General features: G+C 50.9%; 1 protein-coding gene across 1 annotated transcript in view, besides 3 other annotated features; it reads left to right on the forward strand.

Annotated features, from left to right (window-relative positions):
* The window catches only part of CACNG4 (calcium voltage-gated channel auxiliary subunit gamma 4), a 68692-nt gene that overhangs the window by 19559 nt on the left and 23017 nt on the right, over positions 1–26116 (forward strand). The gene's annotated exons all lie outside the window — the stretch shown is intronic.
* Positions 1123–1382: an enhancer, noted in NCBI's record as "active region_12616". NCBI's record gives its function as "activates an Ori minimal core promoter by ATAC-STARR-seq in GM12878 lymphoblastoid cells {active_cell/tissue: GM12878}" and the evidence as "EXISTENCE:reporter gene assay evidence [ECO:0000049][PMID:35858748]".
* Positions 21431–21931: an enhancer, noted in NCBI's record as "H3K4me1 hESC enhancer chr17:65001812-65002312 (GRCh37/hg19 assembly coordinates)". NCBI's record gives its function as "activates a minimal SCP1, AML or CMV promoter by ChIP-STARR-seq in primed H9 embryonic stem cells {active_cell/tissue: H9 hESC(primed)}" and the evidence as "EXISTENCE:reporter gene assay evidence [ECO:0000049][PMID:30033119]".
* Positions 21932–22432: an enhancer, noted in NCBI's record as "H3K4me1 hESC enhancer chr17:65002313-65002813 (GRCh37/hg19 assembly coordinates)". NCBI's record gives its function as "activates a minimal SCP1, AML or CMV promoter by ChIP-STARR-seq in primed H9 embryonic stem cells {active_cell/tissue: H9 hESC(primed)}" and the evidence as "EXISTENCE:reporter gene assay evidence [ECO:0000049][PMID:30033119]".

Below are 26116 nucleotides of genomic sequence, written 5' to 3' on the forward strand. Positions count from 1 at the left end.
AGCTACACAGGAGGCTGAGGTGGGAGGATTGCCTGAGCCCTGGAGTTTGAGGCTGCAGTGAGCCACCACTGCACTCCAGCTCTGGGCAATAAGCAAGACCCTGTCTCAAAACAAAAACAAAAAACAAATATAGGTCTGGGATGACAAAGACTCACAGATGGCCTGCCACCAGCCTGCACCCGCCCCCATTCATCCCCAACTGCTGGCCTGTATTTTCTTCAGTCCTAGGTGATCCAGCAAATACTAGTCGAGAATGTGTGTGCCTAGCCCTGTGCTATGTTCTGGGGACTCGTTCATTCATTCATTCAGCACTTATTTTTGCACCCAGCCTCTTGGGAACAGGGTTTGACCTTCTGGAGGAGAAAGATACTCCTGTATCTGCAGATTCTGAGACTCGGAGCTGTTCAGAATGACATGACCTCCCACTTGTTCCTGCCTCGCCATCTGCTTGTGCTGTCTCTCATGGGATCCTCATAACCCCACAGGAAGGTGGGTTCTGTCACCCTGGATTCTTCACCCAGAAGGCGAAGCAGCAGGGGCAGAGTTTGACTTGAACCCGAGCCTGAGTTTAGCCTCGAGCCTGAGCCTGCCTCAGGGTCCCCAGGGTTACCAGGCTGGGAGTCTGTGCTGACAACAAGCCCAGTGTCATTCTGCTCACCTCGACCTCATCCTTGGGGAAATGCCCCACTGAGCTGAGCACACCAGCTCAACGAGACCAGACCAAAGGGTGGCAGGGGACTGACATGGTTGGGGTGAGGAGGGTCTGACCCAAGGGCAAAGAATGGCCTTGCTTCTCTGAGACCGTCCTCTCTCCCAGCCTGGGCAGCTGTGATCGGGAGATACTGCCTGGTACCCTGCTCTGGGGGGCTCCCACCACCCGCCCTCATCCTGCCTTATCTGTTTCCAACTCCCTACCTGCATTTTCTTAGTCTCTATTCAAATCCAGAAAATGCTCATTGAGGATTTGAAAACTAAATCCCAGGCTGAGTCCTGGGCACTCCCAGATTCATTCATTCATTCATTCAGCAAATATTAATATTGAGTGTCTGCTACTGCTCAAGCAGCATTCGAAGTGATAGGGAAAGTTTTCTTCATAGCAGAGAATAAAACAGACAGCAATTCAGTAATGAGTCTATTGTCCAAGAGAGACAAACAAAAAGCAAGAAAAGAAAGGAGTGTCAGGGTGAGGCTTGTGATGTTAGAGTGTCATTTGTCTTAGTGCACTCAATTCCAGGGAGGCTTGGCCTCTATCAGCCTGGGAAAGTCCCGGGGGGCTTCCCAGAGGAGGCAACATTACTCTTGTCTTGCAGAATGTGTAAGAGTTCCCCAGGCAGGGGAATATACAGAGGCACACGTCTTCCTTCCTGAATGCACACATGCAGTCTCCTATTCATTCTTTATTCATCCAGCAGACATTTTATGGAGCACCCAGATGAAAAGTAGAATCCTGTCCTGTTCCTCAAAGAAATCAGCGTCCAGTGGGAGAAGGGAGACAGAGGGACGGCCATCTGTTACGATTCTGTGTGGAAATGCGTTAAGTGCACGTCCAAGGAGTGGCAGTAGCACAGAGTGGGAAGAGGAAGGTCCTTGGAGGCAAGGGATGTGGTCAGGGAAGTTTCTAGATGGTAAGTCATGTGAGCCAGTTTAGGAAGATGAACACAAGTTTGTTTAAAAAAGGAAAAAAAAAAGAAGAAGAAGAAGAAGAAGAAGGTTCCAGACAGAACACAGGCAAAGTTCCAGAAACATCATGCCTGCTCCGGGGCATTCCATAGTTACCCAGTGCCTACCAGGGGCCCCCGGCCCTGAGCCAGCTCCTGGGATGCATGGGACAGAGGGATTGTTCCCGGATGCCTAAGAAATCTGGTACTATCGAAACAGAAAGCCTCTTATGAGAGGAGGCCAGAAGCTGGGGACAGGGAGGTAGGAGAACAGAAGCAAAAGGGCCCTTCGCTCCATCATACCTGCTTAGGAGCCTGCCTCTGGCCCTCCTGGCCCAGCCGTGTGGGTTGAGGGTCTCACCAAGGGGACATTCAGAGCTGATGTGTGTCTGGAGAGCTCATGTGGCTTCTCCTATGCAGGACGGAGCGGAGGGAGCAAGGCTAGGGCAGGGGCACTTGTTGGGGAAACACTGGAAAATTCCAGCCCGGGGGGATGAGTCCTGAATTAGGACAGTGGAATGGAGGAGATGGTGGATTTGAAGGAGATGGTGCCTTGGAAATAGACTGGATGCAAGAATGAGAGCCCATTATGGGGAAGGGTGATGTCACTGAGCAAGACAGGACACACAGGAAGAGCAGAAGACATATGAGTGAGGCGGATAAGTCCAGCTCCAGGGGGAGGGCACAGATCGCTTGGAGCAGATGGTACAAGGCTTGCGTCTTAACTAATGTCTTCACTCTTTAACTATCTCCAATTTACAGAGAGAATTTAGCTTCCAGTGGTTGCTGGCAATCTTTGGTGTCCCTTGGCTTTGTAGAAGCATCACCTTCGTCTCCGCCTTCTCTTCACATGGCGTTTTCCCTGGGTGCATGTGTCTCTGTCCAAATTTCTCTTTTTATAAGAACACCAGTCATACTGGATTAGGGTCTACCCTAATGACATCATCCTTAACTATACTACATCTGTAATGACTTTATTTCAAAATGAGGCCACATTCTGAGATACTGGGGGTTAGGACTTACATGAATGGATTTGGTGTGGGGAGGGGACACAGTCAATTCTTAACAGCCACATCTTGAGTGATTCCATTTATACGAAATATCCAGTGTATTTACAGAAAAAAGACAGCAGATTCGTGGTTGCCAGGGGCTGAGGGGAGAGGGGAATGGGATTGACTGCTTAATGAGTACAGGGTTTCCATTTGGGGTGATGAAAATTTTCTGAAACAAGGAAACAGGCTCAGAAAGATTAGGTAACTTGCCTGAGGTCACACAGCTGCTAAGTGGTTAAGATGGGATTTGTTCCAAAGTTTGTATTCTTTCTATTGCAATTGGGTTCAAGTGGAGGTTTCTTCTTGGACAAATTATTTAGATTCCCAGACCCTCATTTCCTTATCTACACAATAGAGTCAACATATCACCCTTATCCTCTACCCATGTGAGAATTCACAGAACTCACCTAGTGAGAGTCACTGGTACATTCTGAATGCTTACTAAATGGTCATTATCATTACTCTCTCAGTCAGGGTCCATCCAGGAAAACAGAAACCACTCTGTGTCTTTCAGACAGAGGAAATTTAATAGAGGGAGTTGATCACTCGGGTGATGGAAGAGCTGAGAAGCCAAACAGGAGAAGCATCAGGCACTGAGATGTGGGGCTGCAGGAAGCCCCTTTCAGAGAGAAAATGAGAGAGTGGTTTTACCGGAGGAGGTTGGGACCACAGAGGGAGGGGCTTTCCAGAAGTAACTAGACCCCCAGAGGAGATGCAGCAGCTGCAGAAACACTGTCCAAGGAAGAGGGGGCGAAATACCCTGACTTTCCCCTTTTGACGGCCCTCTTTTCCATCAGAGCCTCCTACTGACCAAACCTACCCAGAAGCCAAGGGCAAGGGAGCCTGGGAAGCATGGTTCCTGGGATAAAGAAGCGATCTCAGCGGTGCATTCAGCTGGTGAGCAGAGCTTACTGTTGGTCTCTGTGTGCCGGTTCATGCACGATGTTGGCATGCTCGAGACTGGGCATGGTCCCAGTGTGTGCATACTCTAGGTATGCACCCAGGAAAGGAGGCAGAGTGGGAGCCCTTGAGAGTGTGCTTTATGGCTATACATCCTTTTTGTGTGTGTGTGTGTGTGTATATATATATATACACACACACACACACATGCAACTGCACACAGTGTGGTCACAGAGCTACCACCCTGATAGCACCCAGCTTGGCTGCATGAATCCCCGTGTACTGCACCTGGGAGCATGTGAGGCCATCACACAGCGTCTGCAGTTCCATCTGCCTGGAGCTCATCCTGTCCTGTTGCCATGGCGGGAAGACCCAGGCTGGAGCACACGCATCAAGGCTCAGCGCTGTCTGCTCCAGGGTGTCCTGTGACTCGGCCAGTCCGGTCATCAGAACTATTGTGTGCATGTATCTCATCTCCAAACAGCCGCCGGCAAGCAGGAGAGGAAAAGGCCCTTGAATCTGCGGCACCAGCTTTTCTTTGAAGTGAGGAAGCAGAGTTTCTGTTTTTCTTGGAAATCCAGCTCCATCATGAGGGATGTTGCTGCATCTGCCTCTTGGCTCCGCGTGTCTGCCTGGCCTCCTGCAGGGCCTCCCCGCCCATCCCCATCACTTGCCCCCTCGCCTCGCCTCACCTCAGTAATGCATCCGGCCCTTGGATCTGTCACCAGTCGGTTGCAACAGAGCAGCTCATGGTCTCTGCTGCTCTCCAGAGGCTCTAAGGAGATATGGGACGTCAGAGGGGTCTCTTTGCCTCTCTTAGACCAGAATCTTCCTGAAATTTCTTGGTGGGGGCTTCCCATTTCTAGTTCTATCTTACGTAAGGCGTTGAAAAGGCAAAGGAGGCAGGGCGCGGTGGCTCACGCCTGTGATCTCTGCACTTTGAGAAGCCAAGGTGGGTGGATCACTTGAGGCCAGGAATTCAAGACCAGCCTGACCAACGTGGTGAAACCCTGTCTATACTAAAAATACAAAAAAATTAGCTAGTTGTGGTGGTAGGTGATTGTAATCCCAGCTACTCAGGAGGCTGAGGCAGGAGAATCACTTGAATCCAGTAGGTGGAGGTTGCAGTGAGCCAAGATCATGCCACTGTACTCCAGCCTGGGCAACAGAGCAAGACTCTGCCTCAAAAAAAAAAAAAAAAAAAAAGGCAAGAGAGTTAAATGAGAAGAGAAACAGAAGCTGCTAAGAGCTTTTTATTCCCGGCATCTTTAGCTTCAGGGAGAATTATGGATGGAACTGTGTCCCCTAAAAAGATATGTCAAAGCCCTGATGCCTGGAACCTGGGAATCTGACCTTATTTGGAAATAGAGTCTTTTTGGATGTCATCAAGTTAAGATGAGGTCATACTCCATTAGAATAGGCCTTCGTTTAATAGACTGGGTTCTTATAAAAAAAAAAGGAGAAGAGACAGACACAGACGGAGAAGGACACAGAAGATGGAGGCAGAGATTGCAGTGATGCAGCTACAAGCCAGGGAATGTTCGGGGTTGCCAGCAAACACCAGGAGCTAAGAGAAAAGCATGGGGCAGATCCTTCCTAGATCCTTCAGAGAGAGCATGGCCCCACTGACACTTTGATGTTGGACTTCTAGCCCCCAGAACCATTCGAGGATAAACTTCTGTTGTTTTAAGCCAGCTCGTTTGTGGTACATTGTCATGGCAGCCCCAGAAAACCAATACAAGGAGATTAATTCAGCCTTGCAAATAACTGCCGAATTAACCACGCTTCCGAAGTGTTTCCCATGCTGCTCTCCAAGAGGGGGTAGCCTCAAATAAAAGAAAGTTGATTTTGTTAGCAACGGTGTGTTGAGAACTCCCTTTGTAGGCTAAGAACATGTATGTGTCACCTCCCTGAACCGCCCACCAACCTCCCAATGTGGGTACTGTTCCTTTCCTGATTGACAGTGGAGGAAACTGAGTCTCGGATGAAACACTTTTGTCGAAGCAACATGAAAATTTTTTCTTTCTTTCTGGGTCAGTGACTATTTCCAAGGCTGGACTGGGGTCCTGAAGGCAAAATGAGCGACTTTGGGTGAAAAATACATTCATTTTCTTTGTGCTTCTTAACAAATTGACAAAACTTAGTGGCTGAAAACAACACAGATTTATTATCTCCCAGTCTCTGTGGACTGGGAGTCTGGACACACTTAGCCGCATCCGCTGCTTAAGTCTTCAAGGATGCAATTGAGATATTTGCCAGGCGGCTTCCCTTTCTTAGCTTGGGGACCTCTTGCATGCTCACTGGTTGTTGGCAGAATTGACCCGGTTGTGGTTATGAGACAAAGACTGCCATTCTCTTGCTAGCCATCAGCCAGGACTTCTCAGCTCCTGGGAACTACCCACAGTCCTTGCCACGTGGCCCCCTTGGCAGTTCACTGCATGGCTATTTGTTTTTTTCCAGGCCAACAGGAACATCTCTGATTTCTTCCCCTCCAATCTGCCACAACAGAGTCTTATATTACGTAATTGAATCATCATATTCACAGGTTCCTCCAACACTCAAGGGGAGGATGTTATACAGGGGCACACAGCAGCGGGTGGGTATCTTTCGGGCCATCTTAGAACTCTGCCTACCACAGATGGAAGGGGCTTTGGTGCAAAGGGTGGTCTCCGGTCAGATGAACTTGACTTTGATTTCTGGTTCTGTCCCTCACTAGGGGTGGAGAGTTGATCTTACGAAATTTTCTTCTGCACTCTTTAAATCTAAGTCTCCTTATTTTATTTTATTTTATTTTATTTTATTTTATTTTATTTATTTATTTTTGAGACGGAGTCTCGCTCTATCGCCCAGGCTGGAGTGCAGTGGTGTGATCTCAGTTCACTGCAAGCTCCGCCTCACGGATTCACACCATTCACCTGCCTCAGCCTCCTGAGTAGCTGGGACTACAGGCGCCCGCCACCATGCCCGGCTAATTTTTTGTATTTTTAGTAGAGACGGGGTTTCACCGTGTTAGTCAGGATGGTCTCGATCTCCTGACCTCGTGATCCGCCCGCCTCAGCCTCCCAAAGTGCTGGGATTACAGGAGTAAGCCACCGCGCCCGGCCTAAGTCTCCTTATTTTAAAAAGGGGTACATTAATACCAGACTCAAAGGGCTGATATGAGGATTAGATGAGTCAAACCGTAAAGCGCTGGCAGTTGCTAGGAGCTCGGTGAATGGCGCTCCCTCCCTCCCTTTTGCAAGCAAATCTCCAGCACAGAGGAAAACACAGGTGGGTGGTGCAGGTGGAAGGCACCTGGTCCTGGAGTCAGAAGCCTCCCTGGGCTCCAGCTTGATCTCGGCAGGTCCTACCCATCTCACCGTTTCCACTGCCCCTTCCCCTTCTCCCAAATGGTAAGAATCACAGCAGCTTTGCCTGGTGAAAGATGAAGATGAATTGCCATCCCCAAACAAACAAACAAACAAAAAAAAACACTTCCGAAAGACCTCTCCTTCCTGTACTGTGTGAGGCATGTTTCTCCTCTTCCCAGAAGCCAGATCCCATAAGAGGAGTGCCCCCTCTCCCCTCCTAGTGCTGAGCAAAGCAGTGGGGCAGGGGGCTATGCAGGTCGGTGGCAGATGTCTTTGCTCCTGGGTGGTCACTAATTGGTCCATTTAGCTGCTTGAGTCTGTTCTCCTGTTGGGTATTCAGTAGACTGGCAACACCTCCCTACTCACATGGGTAAGGATACGGGCCTGCGAGGATGTGTGTCAGTTGTTTTGCCCCCCATCCTGATGGGGAACCATCCAGACAGGATTCAGCCCCCAGATATTAACCCTGAGTAAGACCTGACAACTCCCAACCACATGTTCATGATTCTCTGATATGTGACCCACCAGGAAGGCGTGTCTCCAGCCAAAGGCCGGAAACCTTGTACATTTCAGGGCATCACCTGGCCCTGATGTTGAAGTGTACAGAAGCCAGAGGTGTGAAGGCAGGATCTGCAGGCCGACCTCTCTTCACCACTTCAAAGGAGAGTCCAACTTGAAATTTCACTGTCTGGTTTACACTTACTGCCTCTCTTACCACCATGCCTGCTGGAATGCGAGCTGCCTGCCCACCCAACTCACTCTGTCCATCCCTCAAGACTCACTCAAAGGTGACCTTCCCCACAAAGCCTTACTCATCTCCAGTTGGTGGTGACACCTCCCTTCTCTGGACTCTTGGAGCACGGGGTTTGTGCCCAGACTTTGGCTGAATGTGTTATGTCATGTCACGGGGTACCTGGTTGCTCCGCCAAGCTCCTGGGGGGGGGGGGCTGTGATGCCTCCTTTCTCACCCTTGAGTACCTAATTGCCCCACCAAGTCAGCACCCTCAGTGAATGTTTGCTACATGAATGAATAGGTCCCATAGATTGGGGAGGAGACGGGTGGGGACCCCATGTTGGATCAATCCAAGAATCTCTGTATGGGAAGTTTCAAAAAGTTGAGATCAGAAGAGCTTATTTAGGTCCTATCCCCACCTATCATTCATTCACCATTCATTCATTCATTCAACCTAGCACTGGTTCTCCCAGGCGCAGGGGATCCATCAAATAAGAAAGGCCTCCCAGCAGCACAAAACAAACCTGGCACTACCCACCAGCACACCCACCTTTCTAGAAGGGGGTTATGTCTAGAAAACAGCTGGAAGCAACCCTGCCATGGCTGGATAGAGGGAGGGTCAGGTGGGAGCTGCCCATGTGGGCCCCTTCGAGGCATCCCATGGCTCCCCAGAGCGTGGTTCAGAGCCCCTGGCCTGGTGGAGGCTTCCTGAGAAGGTAACAGAGCCGGAGAGGCTGTTGCGTTTGCACCGGTTTCTCTGTCCTAGGGCCGAGGGCCTTGGCTGGATGAGCCCAAAGCTGGACTTCCCAGACACTAAAGCATCATGGGCCCTTCCTGAGTGTCATTTCGCACTTGTGATTGTGTGTTATTTTTCTTTATGAGGGCCTGTCTGCTTACACAAACTTCAGGACCCAACAGAATCTGGATCTGCCCTCGTTTGGGCCATACATAAAACCCCAGGTAGAACCATCACCCAAGTGGGACTTCTCAGGAAGATCGGGCCCCTCTGTGTGGGTTTCCCAGAGGGAGCGCCCACCTTGCACCTAGCGTGCGCTGTGTCTACAGCAGCTGGCCCGGCTCATCCACTGGGTTGGGACAGGCTGTGAGAACCCTCAGGGTGGCACCTGTGGTGCTCAGCTGGCATCCACTGGGGCTCAGCCACCCCAATCCCCAGCCAGGGGACTCCAAGGCTGCCTGACGGTGGCTCGTGTGGGCCTGAGGCCTGTGGTGGGGGCCTCATGGCACCATTTCGGGGCTTGGCATTTGCTGAGAGGTTTTCCATCATTTATTAATGAGCGTTGGCAGCGGTCCTGTGAATTAAGGCTCAGTTGGAGACGAAGCTCTGAGTGGCTGGGTAGGCAGGGCCACTGGCTCGCAGGGCTGTGTCATCACTGGTGCTGGAAGAGGCTTTGCTCCTGCCACTGAGGCCATTCCCTATGGCCACACCCCAAAGAAGAGCTTCATCTTCCCAGAGGAGAGTTCATACATCTGGGGGCAGAAGACTGCTTCACCCTCTAGCTGGGGCCAGGCTTGGACAACTCACAATCTCCTCCATTGCCAGGTCACCAGGGCACTCCCACGCCTGTTCTTGCACACACAAGGGGGCTCACCCAGGGACAAAAGTGCTTAAAAAGTAACCATGTGAGATGATAGATTCTTTTTTTTGAGATGGAGTCTTGCTCTGTCACCCAAGCTGGAGTGCAGTGGCGCGATCTCGGCTCATTGCAACCTCTGCCTCCAGGGTTCAAGCGATTCTCCTGCCTCAGCCTCCCAAGTAGCTGGGACTACAGGCACCCGCCACCATGCCCGGCTAACTTTTGTATTTTCAGTAAAGACGGCGTTTCACCAGACGGCGTTTCATCATATTGGCCAGGCTGGTCTCAAACTCCTGACCTCGTGATCCACCCACCTCAGCCTCCCAAAGTGCTGGGATTACAGGCGTGAGCCATCACACCCGGCCAATGAGATTCTTTAACTTGCTTCAGGGTAGTAACTACTGTACTATCCATCTGTCTCTATATGTATCCCATAACATCATGTTGTAACCCTCAAATATACACATAAAAAAAAAAAAACATTTTTTTAAGAGACCAGAGGTGCGGTGGCTCACAGCTATAATTTCAGCACTTTGGGAGGCCGAGGTGAGAGCTTTACTTGAAGCCACAAGTTCAAGACCAGCCTGGGCAACATGGTGAAACCCTGTCTCTACTAAAAATAGAAAATTAGCCCAGTGTGGAGCATGCCTATAGTATTAGCTACTCAGGAGGCTGAGGTGAGAGGATTGCTTGAGCCCAGGAATTTGAGGCTGCAGTGAGGTATGATCAAGCCACTGCACTCCAGCCTGGGTGACAGAGCGAGACCCTATTTCCAAAAAAAAAAAAAAAAAACTGCGCCTCCGCTACTAGCAGACACGCATGGAAAAGGTGCCTCAGCACACCGTGTGTGTCAGGACCTCGCGTGTTTGCCTTGCCCTCACCCTGGGAGATAGATCTTGTCATTATCCTGGCTATTCAGAGCAGGAAGGTGCGGCACAGAGGGATTAAGCAAGCAGCCCATGCTGCTGTCAGCCAGAATGCCACCCTGGCCCCCCAGGGGCCCAGTCCTGGTGACCACGGAGCCTGGGAGCTGGGTGTCATGCAAGTAGAAAGCATGCCCTTTGGAACCAGATACAATGATGTTCAGGTCCCGGCTTTCTCCAGTTGGTCATCTCCCAGAACTGCCGTTTTCTCCTCTGTGAAATGGGAACAGCAGTCCCTATCTTCTGGATTTTCAGGAGGATTCACTGATGTAACAGCAACATCAATGTCATTGCACCTGTACAGAGTTAGCACTCAGCGCCTCCTCCATACGTTCTCAGAGGCCAGTGGTAGTGGAGGGGGAGGGAGTGAGAGGTCTTCCCAGGCAGGGTGGTGAAGGGGGGAATGGGGGCATTGGTAGGAGGAGGACTGGAGCCATTCGCCCCCTTGAATATCCGGAAATCTATGGCTGTGGGATGCAGCTGGAGAGAACTGCTTTGCAAATTACCTTGCAAAGAAAGATCCATCTCAGATCTTTCTTTTTCTTTAACAAGTTTCCCCCCGGGCCAATTTCAAATCAAGTTCAATCTGGTATCTAACAGTGAAAAGCTGGTTACTCAGAGTCATTAGATGTAGAATATTCAGGCCTCCGTGGAGGTGGCCCTGGCGCCCTCACGCCACTGCCCCGGGTCGTGGCACCGTGATAAACTTCATTTTCCAGCTGTTATTTGCACCTCTGGAAATGGGTGTCTCTGGCTTCTGTCCATTGAGAGGGGGTTTCTGCTGGAGAACTGAAGGATGTGCTATTCCTATGTCTGGATCCAGACCTCGACTGGGAGGGAAAATGGCTTAATGAATAATGAAAGCTTTGTGATCACACGGCAGCCTCTCATGAAGCCTGAGGAAGGTCGGGCTCTTCAGCCCCAGCTAAGCAAAAGGGAGGCACTGGAAGGGCAGAATGGAACCTTGCAGGGTTGGAGGCCTCATGAGTCCAGGCCTGGTTTGCCAGCATCTTCTCGGAGTAGGCCAGCATTTCTGAAATATCAGGACTACAGGAATTTATGACAGTGTGGGTTGTGTTAAAAATGGGATCTAGGCCGGGCGCAGGGGCTCACCCCTGTAATCTCAGCACTTTGGGAGGCCAAGGCAGGCAGATCATGAGGTCAGGAGTTCGAGACCAGCCTGACCAAGATGGTGAAACCCCGTCTCTACTAAAAATACAAAAATTAGCTGGGTGTGATGGTGGGCACCTGTAATCCTAGCTACTCGGGAGGCTGAGGCAGGAGAATTGCTTGAACCCAGGAGGCAGAGGTTGCAGTGAGCCAAGATCGTGCCACTGCACTCCGGCCTGGGTGACAGAGCAAGACTCCATCTTGAAAAAAAAATGGGATCTATAGAGACCTCTAGGTTTTTCCATTTTTCCTTATTGCCATCAGTTCAACCTATTTGTGAGGGGGTGATTTTTACTTTGATTTTGGAACTGAGTGACATGAAACCAGTCTGACATCTGGTTCCACTGAATCCCAAACCCTGGTTTTGAGTGTGGCCCGTTGGATTCGCCTCTAGGACATTAATATTTATCACATTACAATCAAGCCATGCTTCCAGGAGCGACTGGTTGACTTAGGAGGTTGATGACAAGCAGCTCATTCCAGTGGCATCTTGTGGATGGGGCACCGCATGCTCTGCCAATGCCTCTCTGCTCCGTGGTTGGGCATTCTGATGGCATTCCTGGGTATCTTACTCGCTAGTGGTAAAGAGGGCAGAAGGCAGAGTGGATTTTTTTTTCTGCCTTTTGCACGCAGACACAGAGCCAGGGAGCCAGGAGAGAGCAGTGCCTCCCCTGGCCTCCTAGATCCTGAGTCCCTCAGAGCCCTCTTTGGAGAAAGAACATCAGTCCGATTCTTTTTTTTTTTTTTTTTTTAGACAGGGTCTCGCTCTGTCACCCAGGCTGGAGTGCAGTGGTGTGATCTCGGCTCACTGCAACCTCCGCCTCCCAGGTTCAACCAATTCTCCCACCTCGGCCTCCCCAGTAGCTGGAACTACAGGGGCACGCCATGACGCTCAGCCAATTTTTGTATTTTTTGGTAGAGACAGGGTTTCACCATGTTGGCCAGGCTGGTCTCAAACTCCTGACCTCAGGTGATCTGCCTGCCTCGGCCTCCCAAAGTGCTGGGATTATGGGCATGAGCCAGCGTGCCCAGCCCATTAGTGCAATTCAACCAACATGAATCGAGCAGAGACTAAATAGAAGGTTTGGTTTAAAGACAAGTCAGTCTCAGATCCAGACCCCTGGCTCACGGGGAGACACAATTTAGAAATAATGCAGGAGGTTACAATGACAGGGATGTGTACAGACCATTACGAGAATGCAAAAGAGAAGAGGGGGACAGGTCCCTGAGGGCTTCTTAGAAGGGGCAGCGCCTGCCCTGATGACTTCTGAGAGTTTATAAGGGGACGAGGGCAGGACAAAGGGAACAGCCCAAGCTAGAAGATGGTTCGAAACAGCATGAGCTCCCTGCGGAGCTCAGGGTTATTGGAGGGTGGGGCCAGCAACAGGACTCAGGGTCAGCAGGAACCAGCTGTGATGGCTGGCATGACCAAACTCTATGCTGTGGGAGGTGGAAGGTCAGTGATGGTGCTGTGGTCAAAGTCCTATGTCACCAGATTGTCCTGGCAGGTGGTTTTGAGGGAAGCAGCAACAGGGATACCAGTAAAAAGGAAGAGTTATGCAAACCCAAACTAGGGCAGGGCAGTGTGGATGGATAAGAGGGGTGGATTTGAGGCATCAAGGATGTGGAATTCCAAGGTCGGCTGATGGATGAAATACAGGCCGGATGAGGAAGAGGGAAGAGTCAAGACGCCCTCCAGTGAGGACCCCCAGAGGGTGGGAGCAAGAAGGCAATGAGAGTAGATGGAGGGTTACAAAGGGCAGGATGACACCTTAGTTTGAGCCATGCTGAGCCCTGTGGCCCCTGTTGGACTTCTAGGTGGAGATGTCCCCGGGGATGGGATGCCTGAGTCTGAGGAATTGCAGTGCAAAGAGAATGGTTAAAACCAGGCAGGGTGTAGTGGCTCATACCTATAATCCCAGCACTTTTGGAGGCTGAGGCGGGCAGATCACTTGAGGTCAGGAGTTCGAGACCAGCCTGGCCAATGTGGGGAAACCCCATCTCTACTAAAAATACAAAAATTAGCTGGGCGTGGTAGCACACGGCTGTAATCCCAGCTATGCAGGAAGCTGAGGCAGGAGGATCGCTTGAGCCTGGGAGGTGGAGGTTGCAGTGAGCCAAGAGTACGCCACTGCCCTCCAGCCTGGGCAATGGGAGTGAGACCCTGTCAAAAACAAACAAACAAACAAACAAAAAACCCACACCTGTGCAGAGGTCACCAACAGGAGCATGAGAATGGAAATTGAGGACAGAGGAGAAGCTGCACACCCCTGAGAAGGAAGGGAAGGAGGAGGAGATCCTGAGAGAGACTGGAAAGGACCAGTCAGGGAGTGATTAGGAGGGCGTGAGAGAGAAAGGCCACAGGAACCAGGAAAGGGACCACATGTGAGAAGAACTGCAAAGCTCAAGGATGTTGGACTGTTTGCCTTGCAATGTCAGGGTTCAGGACACGTCAGGGCTGTTCTGGATAGAGTGGCATTGGAGGAAGACTCCATCTATGCCGCAAATGTTGAGGCCCCCAATCTGAAGCAGAGTTCCCCACAGTGAGGCCTCAGACATCCTGCAGACCACTGGAGATCTTTTTTATTTTTAAAGAGATGGAGTCTTGCTCTGTCCCCCAGGCTGAAGTGCAGTGGTGCAGTCATGGCTCACTGCAGCCTCCAACTCTGGGCTTAGGTGATCCTCCTGCCTTAGCCTCCTGAGTAGCTGAGACTACAGGTGCACACCACCATGCCTAATTTTTTAAATTTGCTTTTTGTAGAGATGGGGTCTCACTCAAACTCCTGAACTCAAGCAATCCTCCTGCCTCAACCTCCCAAAGTGCTGGAATTGCACCGCACCCATCCCTGGGATACTTATTTAACGTGAGCACTCCTGAGCCTCAGACTGAAAACTGCTAGTTGAGGGCGCTGGCCTGAAGCCAAGTTCCCCACCTTCAGGAGGTGCATCCACTGCCCTAAGTGTTCCCCGCTCACCCTCCCAAGCCCCCAGGCAGGCAGCTCCTTGTCAGTGCCTGGCTGAGCTCACCCAGGGCCAGACCCTGGGCCTTGGGCACGCTCTGGGGCTGCCCATTCATGCCCTGCCTCTTGCTCAGTTTCCAAGTCTGTTTCATTTGGGAACAATCTGCATGCCCTGCTTCCTCACCCCCACCCTGCCTTCTCACATGAGCCCCTTTCCAAACAGACACACCAGTTAACTGGAGCATGGGTGCCTAGCCTAGGACAGAAGCTGGTGAAGGGGAGATGCTCCTGAGATGGTCCGGGAGCTCAAAGAACATCCCACCATTTGGGCTAGGCCTCCCTCAGCTCCTGAATTGCCAGCTGGTGCCTGCTTGTATTTCTTCATGTAGTTTGAGAGGTGGTGGGGCAGAGTGGTTTAGGCTCTCAGGCTCTGAAGGATGATGGCTTGGGTTCTAGTCCCAGCCCTGCACTAGATGGGCAATCCTGGGCAACTCACTGAACCTCTCAGGACCTCAGTTTCTTCATCTGTAAAATGGAGTGGCTGACAATGGCAGCACCTGCATGAGAGGGTTGCAGTGAGGACTGAATGAGTTAGAATATGAAGTACATAGAACGGCGATGACCTCAACAAGTATTAGCTGCTATTACTGTAATAGTTGGCAGTAGAGTTGGTGGTGGTGGTGGTGGTGGTGGTCATTGTGGTAGTTAGCATGGGAATAGCTCCCTGACCCCAGGGCACCGCCCCCACAGACTTCGGTCCTGTGTTCTGTATCCATCTCAGAAGACTGGTGTATTAGTCCGTTTTTACACTGCTGTAAATAAATGCCTGAGACTGGGCAATTTATAAGGAAAGAGGCTTAATTAACTCATAGTTCCACATGGCTGAGGAGGCCTCAGGAAGCTTACAGTCACAGCGGAAGGCAAAGGGGAAGCAGGCACCTTCTTCACAAGGCGGCAGGAGACAGCGAGCGAAGAGGGAACTTCCAAGCACTTATAAAACCATCAGATCTCGTGAGAACTCACTCACTATCAGGAGAACACCACGGGGGGAAACTGCCCCCATGATCCAATCACCTCCCTCCTTCAACACATGGGGATTACAGGTCCCCCCATCAATACCTGGGGATTACAGCTCCCTCCATTGACACGTGGGAATACAATCCGAGATGAGATTTGGGTGGGGACACAGGGTCAAACCATATCAACTGGCAAAAGCCAGAGCAACTGTGATCTATTAGGATAGATGAGGCTCCTTGTCCGGGCTGTCTGAGTGCGCGGCCTCCCGAGGGAAGGGCTTTATTTAGACGAATTAGAGAGAGAGCCAACGCCTCCTCCCCAACTGGCTTTCAGCTCGTCCCTGGCATGGGGATGGTGGGTAATAGATGAAGAAGCCACCCAGAGCATTTAGATGAAATTAGTGGTGTCCAAATCTCGATTGCCCTCCTAATCAGGTGATGAATGTGGCTCCCCACTGCCTATTTCCACCTGGCTTCCACGCAGCCTTCCCCAGGCTCTCTCTGCAAGCAGAATCGCTGCATTCAGGACTCTCCTCTCTTTCCTTGTGTCGTTTACAGCATTTCTCTTGCTTGATGGTGGGGAGCTGGAGTATAGCTTCCCATTAACTTTTATCCTTCCCATAAACAGCCTGCTTAACTCACGATGACTGTTGTTCCACTCTGTTCCCAGGGTTTGCTCCGTCTCCCTCCCAGCCAGCCTGTTCTCACTGTGTCCCAGCCCACCAAGCCCCACGCCTGGGCTGTCCTGTGCCTGTGGAAGGAGGGAAGCTGGATTTTACATTTTATTTACTGTTTTTTTTTTTTAAATGCAAGCAAAAGCCTCAAGCCTTAGCTCCAAAACTCCAGGAGGAAGCTGAGGCTGAGTGATCTGTGCCTGGGATTTCAGGAGCCTGGAGCCAGGAGAGGGGGCAAGGGTGCAGGGCGCCTGCTCTGGGACATGGATCCTGCCATGTGGGCATGGTCTCTGGGACTGACCGGAGGAGGGAGAGACACAGGAGGACAAGTGAGGGCCAGTGGCCAAGGTCCCTAGGCCCTGAGTGAAGTAGTGCAGGGAAGGCCACTTTGGGAGGGTGCTAGTGTCCCTAAGCCAGGACTGCTTTCGGGACGGGGGGAGGGATGTTTAGTCTGAAGATGGACAGCGATGGGGGCACAAGTTATCCTTGGGGATCCTCCCTTTCTGCTCCAAGTCAGCAGAAGACCTTGAGTAAGACTCTTTTCCCAGAGCCTGGATTCTGACTGGCCTCCCTGCCTCCACTCTGTCCTCCATCCTGGAGGAGAACAGACCTTCCTAAAAAGCAAATCTTGTATATCAGATGGTTAGCTTCACACCCTGATATGGTTTGGCTGTGTCCCCACCCAAATCTCATCTTGAATTGTAGCTCCTGTAATCCCCATGTGTCATGGGAGGGACCTGGGGGGAGGTAATTGAATCATGGGGGTGGGTTATTCCTGTTCTGGTCTCGTGGTAGTGAATAAGTCTCACGAGATCAATGGTTTTATAAAGGGCAGTTCCCCTGCACACACTCTCTTGCCTGCTGCCATGTAAGATGTGCCTTTGCTCCTCCTTCACCTTCTACCATGATTGTGAGGGCTCCCGGCCACTTGGAACTGTGAGTCCATTAAACCTCTTTTTCTTTATAAATTACCCAGTCTGGGGTATGCCTTTATTAGCAGCATGAGAACAGACTAATACACACCCCCACATGGCTCCCTCCAGCTCCCAGGCCCCTGAGGCCCTGCCACCCCTGTCCCCTCCCCCTGGTTCTCTAATTCAAGCCCCACCAGCCTCCTTTTGCCGCCTCAGACAGGCTCTGACCCCTCTGGGCCTCTGTCTGCCGTAGCCGCTGCATCTTACCTTGCTAATTTTTGCTCCTCCTTCAAGGCGCAGCTGTACTGTGGGTTCCTCTGAGTAGCCTCCCTGACCCGCTTACAGGCTATCCCAGGCCCCCTCATGCTACTCAAAGGCATGGACGGGATGACTCTGGCACCTTCACCACCATAGCCAGGGCCTAGCATGGTGCCTGGCACCCAGCAACCTCTTAATGTGTCAGCGCTGATTTGAATTCAGGGTTCTACTAGACGACCAAGTCTGCAGCTGCTCTTCCAGGACTTCAGGGGCCCTCATGGGGGAGACGAACTAGACATTTCTTTGTGATTCCATAAGGAATGGAAGGTACATGGTCCCAACATGGCAAAGCTCTTCCTGGAAAGCCACCAGTGGGCAGGACGCAGGCAGGATGTTGGGTGCCATGGGGCTTGGGATGCAGGGCCATGGACACCAGGTGTGACTGATTAGCCCAGGAGCTCTGAGGCCTTGCCTAAGCCCATGATCTGGCGGCTCCTCACCAAGTGACCAAGAAGCACTAGGGTGCTGGCAAGTGATGGAGAATTCTAACCTGGTGCTCCAGACCACAGGTATGGGAGTGTATTCATCCATTTTCATACTGCTATGAAGAAATACCTGAGACTTGGCAATGTATAGAGAAAAAGAGGTTTAATGGACTCACAGTTCCACGTGGCTGGAGAGGCCTCATGATCATAGCAGAAGGCAAAGGAGGAACAAAGGCACGTCTTACATGGCAGCAGGCAAGAGAGCGTGTGCAGGGGAATTGCTCTTTATAAAACCATCAGATCTAATAGACTTATTCACTATCACGAGAACAGCATGGGAAAGACCCGCCCCCATGATTCAATTACTTCCCACTGGGTCCCTCCCATGAGATGTGGGGATTATGGGAGCTACAATTCAAGATGAGATTTGCGTGGGGACATAGCCAAACCATATCAGGGAGGTGGTGAGAGGGATCTTAAAAACTGGGTTGGAACTTGGTATCTGGCTGCCCTGGAAGAACTGTTCTCAGCCCTGGAGGTACTCCAGAAATGCATGTGTGCTCCCTCATCCTGGCCTGGTTGCCAGAAAGCACTGGTGACCTGGCAGACCTGGCAGGTGTGTGCCCTCCCAGACACTGGCTCTCTCCACCTCTCATCTCTCTCTTTCTCTCTCTCTCTCTCTCTCTCTCTCTCCATCCTCAAATAGAATAGGGAGGCAGGGAATCATAGCAGTGACAGCACTAGTTGTAGGATCAGACAGAAGCAGGTGAGAGAATCCTGGCTGTGCTACCTTGGGCAAGTTACTTGCCCTCTCTGAACCTTGGCTTTCTCATCTGTAAAATGGGTGTATAGAAGCTCCCCCTTCATAAGTTGTTTTTGAAGCTTAATGAGTAAATGGAAAGAGCTTAGCACATGCTTTGCAGGGAATATAGTTTTCAACCAAAGCCAACACTTATTAGTCCATTAGTCATGAGGCTCAGGGAAAAACAGGGTTACTTTGCTGGGCCTTCTAAGAGTCAGGGGAGCTCTGCTTCTTTTGGAAGACACAGTATTATGGGTATATGTGGACAAGGAAGAGTCTGTGTCAGTCCTGATAGGGGGCAAACCTGGCCTGCTCACTTCTGACAATAAGACCAGCTGACTCTTTGTTATTAGAACAGGGCTGATTATAACAACAGCAAACATGTTTTAAGTACATACCATGGGACAGGCACAGTGACATTTAAAAAATGCATACAATTGTTTAATCCCCCAAATCACCCTCGGTTTATCCCCATTTGTGATCCCCATTTCACAGATGGGAAAAATGAGGCACAGAGAAGTGAATTAGGACCCCAGATCATACAGCTAATAGGTGGTAACAAAGCCAGAACTCAAACCCAAGCAGAATGACTTCAGAACGTACTGTCTCTATGCTATCCAGCCAAAGGATGATCGATAGGTATTTTATCAACTAGTAGCTCCTGAATGGAGCACTGTGTTGAGGATTCAGACTGTGATCAGGGGAGAAAAGTACTGTGATTGATTAGTAATGTCTGCCATGGGCTGAGAAGGGGAAGACTCAGTTCTGTGCAGGACATTTATTCATCACCAACCACTGCACTATTGACATTTGGAGCTAAATCATTATTTGTTGGGGCAGGGTAGGGAGTCATCCTGTGCATTGTAGAATGTTTAGCACATCCCTGGTCACGTGTTGCCAGTAGCACTTCGCCCTGCAACCCCAAGTTGTGACAATCACAACTGTCTCCAGCCTTTGTCAAATGTCACCTGGGAGGCAAAATCACCCCCTGTAGAGAACCTTGCACTAGAGCAGGCAATGGACAGGGGGTAACAGAGCTCTAAACTTGAAGTCAGGTGACCAACAGTCAAAGCTTGGCTATGCCACCAATCAGCTTATCACCATGGAAATGGCCCTTCACCTCTCCAGGCAGCAAATTCTTAATATGTGAAGTGAGTGGGGTGAAGTGGATGATCCCAAGGGTCCCTTCTAGAAGTTTATGATTATCTACTATGATGCTCCCTCTCTTGCCCAGCCCCTTCAATTAAAACTCTCAGGTTATTGGAGCATAACTTCCCAGAGATCTGCAGAGGCAAACCAACGGAAAAGCTGAAATCTGCAGAGAGCTGTTTCGCCCTTTACAGCTCCCTAGTTGTTCCTCATTAAAAAAGAAAGAAAGAAATGAAGAAAGAAACAACAACAACAACAACCCTTAGTACTGAGGTTTCATCCAAGCAGCAGTTATCCAGTAGATGCAAGGAGAAAAATCACAGAGACAATAACTGAATACCCATTCCCCTGTGTTAGGAGAGAAAAGGAGCGGTTGGTTGGGGAAATCTCTCCGGCTCCGTTTAATTATGAATCTCGGCAGGAAGCCTGGAAAATCCTGGCCCTCTCTGGAACAAAGTGTTGGAGGAGGCGTGAGGCTGGTGCTGTGGGTTCTTGAAGAACTCGCTGAGCCAGATGAGACCTCAGATGAGCACCAGCCACAAGCTTCCACGCAGCGTGGGGCTGGTGCTCAGCATCCTCATCCCCGATACAACATCCTTCCTTTCCCTGGAGCCCTGTGGTCTCCAGGGAACCCATGCTTATTTTCGTGTCTTAGAAAGTGTTGCAGACCTGCGCTGAGACATGGAGTAGAGCCTGGGCTTTGGAGCCCTGGAAAAACAGGTTGGAATCTCCCTCCCCCAGTGAAGGTACAGCTGGTTGGGGGTTAGAGTTCTGCCGGTTGCAAGCACATAAACCAACTTCTCTGACTTGATCCACAAAGAGGACTTTCTTTTTTTAAGACAGGGTCTCAGTCCTGTCACCTAGGCTGGAGTGCAGTGGTATGATCTCAGCTCACTACAGCCTCGACTTCCCAGGCTCAGTTGATTCTCCCACCTCAACCTCCCACATAGCTGGGACTATAAGCGTGCACCACCATGCCCAGCTAATTTGTGTACTTTTAGTAGAGACAAGGTCTTGCCGTGTTGTCCGAGCTGGTCTCAAACTCCTGGGCTCAAGCAATCCGCCCACTTCAGCCTCCCAAAGTGCTGGGATTACAGTTGTGAGGCACCCTGCCCCGTCCCAAAGAGGAATGTATCGGAAGGATGTGGAAGCGTCCCAAAGGATGGAAGGGAGAGCTTAACAGCCAAGATGAAGGAAGGAAAGAGGCAGGAGCCTCCATATCTGGCATCCTGGACCACTCAAGAACACCATTTTAAAAACTCCCAAAAGTCCCTTAGTCCATGGGTCTCCTCTGTCTCTGATCCAAAATATACACTTCCAAGAGAACCTCTGATTGGTCCAGCTTGGGCCAGAGGTCTGCCCAGGAGCCTTGGCTGGGGGCAGGGCCATGTCATGCAGGGCCATGGGGGAAGTTCTGTGTGAAGGACTCATTCCCAGAGAAAGGGGCTCCCCAGTGGTACACCCCTGAGGACCATCAGAACCTCAGTATGGGTGTAGTGCAAGGCAGACGGCCCACTCCCTCTCCACCCACCTTCTGCCCCTCTGAATCACTGCACAGGTGCTCACAACACAAGATTCTTAGAGTCTAGGACCCAGAGTGATGTCTCCGCTTACCACACGAGCTTTGATCTCCAGGTTCCAGGTTCACAGAGAGAATTTAGAGGTAGAAATGGATTCTCTCCAAGAATCCTGCTTCCTAAGGGAACCAGAATGGGCTGCAGACAGGCCTCGGTCCCCGAGTGGATTTTGTATCAGAGTCCAGTGCCGTCTCCCTTCTGCTGATCACAAAGGTGACCTCTCTCCCAAATCCTCCACTGGCCCCATTCCAGGCTGCTCCATTGAAAGGAAACACCTTTTCGGACCTTGTAGTTCCCTGGACTGCTAGACACAGGTGGGGTCTTGGGGACAGGGCTCCTGCCCCACTGCCTGGTTCTACAGATGAGCCGACAGAAGGAACAATGGGCCCGAGTCACTATGGAAGCCATTATCTTCTGTTGGGTCTGAAACAGTGCAGCTCACGGCCCAGCATTCCTCAGGATGGCTCTCTCCTTGTGGCTGGCAGAGGTGAGAGGTGAGGCAGGCTGAGTCCAAGGGGCCCGACATTATCCCATCAACCACCCCTCCCCACCTGGGAGCCTCTGGCAGCCTCAGGAAGCTGCCAACTTGAAGCCAGAATTGAAATGTGTCCCTTTTCACAAGGCACTCCACCATGAGGGGCAGTGAGGAGGAGAGAGCTTGTTCCTCGTGGGTGAGCAGGGGCTGCCGTGTCGAGGCAGCCAGGCTCCTCTGGGACTAAAAGAGGCCACCCAAGGGCCCCAGGGTGGGATCCAAAAGCCCTAACAGGCCAGATGATAGCAGCCAGGCTGGGGACAGAATGACAGACATTCAGAGCCTGGAGGGTCTAGAGCTCCGGGCATGAGCCATGAGTTTTCCAGCTTCAGGAAAGCTCCCAGGGCGCCTCGGCTGATGGCATGAAATCCAGTCTCCTTACAGGACGGTTCTGGCTCCCTCCAGGACTGCAGCCCCACCTGCTTACTCAGCCTCAGTACTGTCTCCGTCACCTCCCCAGGCAAGGTCCCTTCCAGAAGCTCATGCCAAACATGCCTCTGGGCTTCGTCTCGCCTGGGCCGCCATATGCCAAGTACTACTTACTCTGTGTGAACCCCAGCACCTCCCCAGGCTTCCCAGACACCCCATTCAGCACTTGTCCCTTATTCTTTGAAATTCCACAAACCTGCTCCTTGTCTCATAGTGTCACTGGCTCTCTTGTTCTAGTTACTGTGTTCGCTCACCTCCCCAGCTAGGTCATAAGCTCTCCCAGGCAGGATCCACGGGGCCTGGTGTCAATCAATGAATACCAAACTAAAAGAAAGAATGGGCAAAGGATTGAGTGGGTGAACCTTGTCCACCTCAAAAGAAAAACCCAAAACAGATTCTAGCGTGACCACAAGGCACCTCAATGACTTTAAGCTATCAAAGAAGAAATGAGGCTGGATGCAGTGGCTTACACCTGTAATTCCAGGACTTTGGGAGGTCAAGGCGGGTGGATCACTTGAGGTCAGGAGTTCGAGACCAGCCTGGCCAATGTAGTAAAACCCTGTCTCCACTAAAAATACAAAAATTAGCCAGGCATGGTGGCCGGTGCCTATAGTCCCAGCTACTCAGGAGGCTGAGGCATGAGAATCGCTTGAACCCAGGAGGCAGAGGTTGCAGTGAGCTGAGATTGCACCACTGCACTCTAGCCTGGGTGACAGAGCGAGACTCTATCTCAAAACAAACAAACAAAAAACAAACCCAAACAGATTCTAGAGGGACCACAAGGCACCTCAATGACTCTAAACTATCAAAAAAGTAATAAGCCTGTGTGAATCTTTTAGCAGTTGCCAGTGATAGTCGTCCTCATTTGCCCAAAGAAACTTCCCAGGATCTGAATGGCAAGCATTTATTATTTTTAGCCCCTCTCTTAACTCTAATTGGAACAGTCTAGTCTAAAGACATCTCCGAGAAATGAGGAGTTGAAAACCATATACTCACACTCATGACATCATCACGATTTAGCCTTCTCAAGGTTTCTTGACCAACATGGGTCTCATTGGGTCTCACTTGAGATATGAAAGGTTGTAAAAATATTTCCCCCATTTTCTGAATGAGGAGTGGCTTCCCTGACCTCTACTCTGCAGCCTGGGCCAGGCTTCTCGGTGATGTGCTGTCGGAAACTCAGGACTCTTTCTAAGCCCTTTCCTCAGTCGTCACTGAATACCTATGGAACCAGAAAGCTTCAGAAGGGCAGAGACCATGTCTGTCCTGTTCTCCTCTTGTATTATTGATTATTGCTCTAACAGAGATATGCCCAAATGTATAATGCCTTAAACATAGTAGGAGTTCATTTCCTGCTCATGTAACAGTCCAAATGGGTGGCCCTCTCAACGGACACCTGTGTTCCACAGAGTGATTCAGGGACCCAGGCTTCCTTCATCCCATGGCAGGTTGGGAGGGAGTGGAGATGGAGGGCCACCCCCACTGCTCTTGAGCCTTGTCCAGGAGTGGCTCACGTCACTTCAGTTCACATTCCATTGGACAACTGGGTCACAGGCCACCTCAAACTGCAAGGGAAGCTGGGAAATACAGTGTAGCCGTGTGCACCGTAAGAAAAGGAAACAGGTTCTAGCAAGCAGACACTCTGCTACATCTCTGAGTCCCCAGCACCTCACACACAGCAGGTGCTCAATAAATGTAAGTTCAATGAAGGAACTGAAGGTCACAGTGGCTTACGAGGGTCTCATGGAGAGCCACTAGCAGGCCAGGAAGCTAGGGCTCCCTGAGAAAGCCTGAACCAGCCCAGACTGCCTCTCCACGCCTGGAGTTTCGCTCAGGAACCCATGGAGAGGTTTCCCAACAGCCTGGCTTGCTGAAGCTGGAAAGAGGCCAGCCCGTAGGAGACCAGAGTGTGCCAATTAGGAAATCACAGTTATTAGGGGGTTTCTTTGGCACTCGGTGTGGAAGTGGAGGAATTAAGAAGGGGACCTCTAAGGGAGAATTGCGGGGAGCAGGGGGCAGGGCTGGGCAAAGAGCTGAGGCATGGGGAATCAAGGAGCCTCGAGTTTGTCAGCAGCAGCTTGGAGCACTGGCTGGTGGGCCTGACCGGTGCCTCTGCTCCAAATCCTGGGTTATGGGTTAAATTGCACCCTACCCCATCCCCACCGAAAATTCTTATGTTGAAGTCCTAACCCCAGTACTTCAGAATGTGACCTGATTTGGAGACAGGCTCTTTACAGAGGTAATCAAGTTCAAATGAGGCCTTTTGAGGCCGAGGTGGGTGGATCATTTGAGGTCAGGAGTTCGACACCAGCCTGGCCAACATGGTGAAACCCCATCTCTACTAAAAATAACAAAACTTAGCCAGGCATGGTGGCACATGCCTTTAATCCCAGCTACTCAGAAGGCTAAGGCAGGAGAATCACTTGAACCCTGGAGGTGGAAGTTGCAGTGAGCCGAGATCGCGCCACTTCACTCCAGCCTGGGTGACAGGGTGAGACCCTGTCTCAAAAAGAAAAAAATGAGGCCTTTAGAGTGGGGCCTAATCCAGTATGACTGGGGCCCTTATGAAAAGGGGAACTTTGGACATAGACACATGCACACAGAGAGAATATGATATGAAGAGAAGGCAGAGATGGGGTTGATGCTTCTACAAGCCAAGGAACGCCAGAGATCACCAGCAAACACCAGAAGCAAGGCAGAGTCATGGAAGAGCTTTCTCCCTCACAGCCCTCAGGAGGAACCAACCCCATCAACACCTTGATCTTGGGACTTCAAGCCTGCAGAACTGTAAGGCAATAACTTTCTGTCATGGAACCCCCCAGTGTATGATACTTCGTTAAAGTAACCCCAGAAAACTAATGCACCCTGCCTCTCAGTGCTGGAATGATCTTGGCCAAGTCACTTCCATCCTGGCCTCCAGTCCCTCTTCTGAAACCACGTCCAAGGATAGGAGCCAGTGTCTCCCCAAACCAAGAACATCGCTTATCATTGCTCTGGGCTGCATTTCTTGGTTTTACATCTCCTTGCTGCTCCTATCCCATGCAGCTTCCTTTAAGAAGGGTACCTCCCTGGGCCTTCCAACCTGAAGTCACGCCCTCCCTTAATCCATTCAGGCTGCTAACAAACTACAAAATATAGTGTATCTGTAGTATATAACAAAATACTATAAATTGGGTGGCTTACAATACAACAGAAATTTATTTCTCACAGTTCTGGAGGCTGCGAAGTCCAAGATCAAGGCGCCAGCAGATTTGGTGTCTGGTGAGGGTGGCTTCCTGGTTTATAGACGGTGCCTTCTTGCTGTGTTCTCATGTAGTTGAAGGGACAAACAAGCTCTCCAGAGTCTCTTTTAAAAGGACTCTAATCACATTTGTGAGAGCTCCACTAATCACCTCCTAACATCATCACCTCAGGGTTAGGAGTTCAGCATATGAATTTGGGGGTAGAGGACACAAATATTCAGACTACTGCATCCCCACCGTGGAGACTGTACAATAAACTCCCATGTCCTCTGCCCACCATGCAAGACCCCACCCCCATCCCAGCTCCTTCTTCCTCTACCTCCCCCATCACTGCTACCCAACCATGCCAGGACAGCTGTGGTTTGGGAACCTTCACACCTTTGCCCCGACTGCCCCCTTTGTTTGCACCAGACACAGTGGTGCCTTCTCTGCACACATCAGCCCTTCTCAAAAATCCTAACCTTGCTCCCCAGCCAAGCTCTGCCTTTGTCCCCATGCCTACCCTCCCTGACTACTCGCTGTCCCAGTGGTGTGGGGCCCTGGGTTGCCATCCCCGCTGCTTCAGCATCTCTGCCTGCTAGTGAAGGATTAACACAGCCTGAAGCATCAGCCAATACCCTCAGCCCCAGAGTCTAATCCTAAGGAGTGTTGGGGACATGTGCTTCCCCATCATGCTGAAGCCACACAGAACGTCTTG

The sequence above is a fragment of the Homo sapiens genome, chromosome 17, assembly GCF_000001405.40.
Source record: "Homo sapiens chromosome 17, GRCh38.p14 Primary Assembly".
Lineage (NCBI taxonomy): Eukaryota > Metazoa > Chordata > Mammalia > Primates > Hominidae > Homo > Homo sapiens.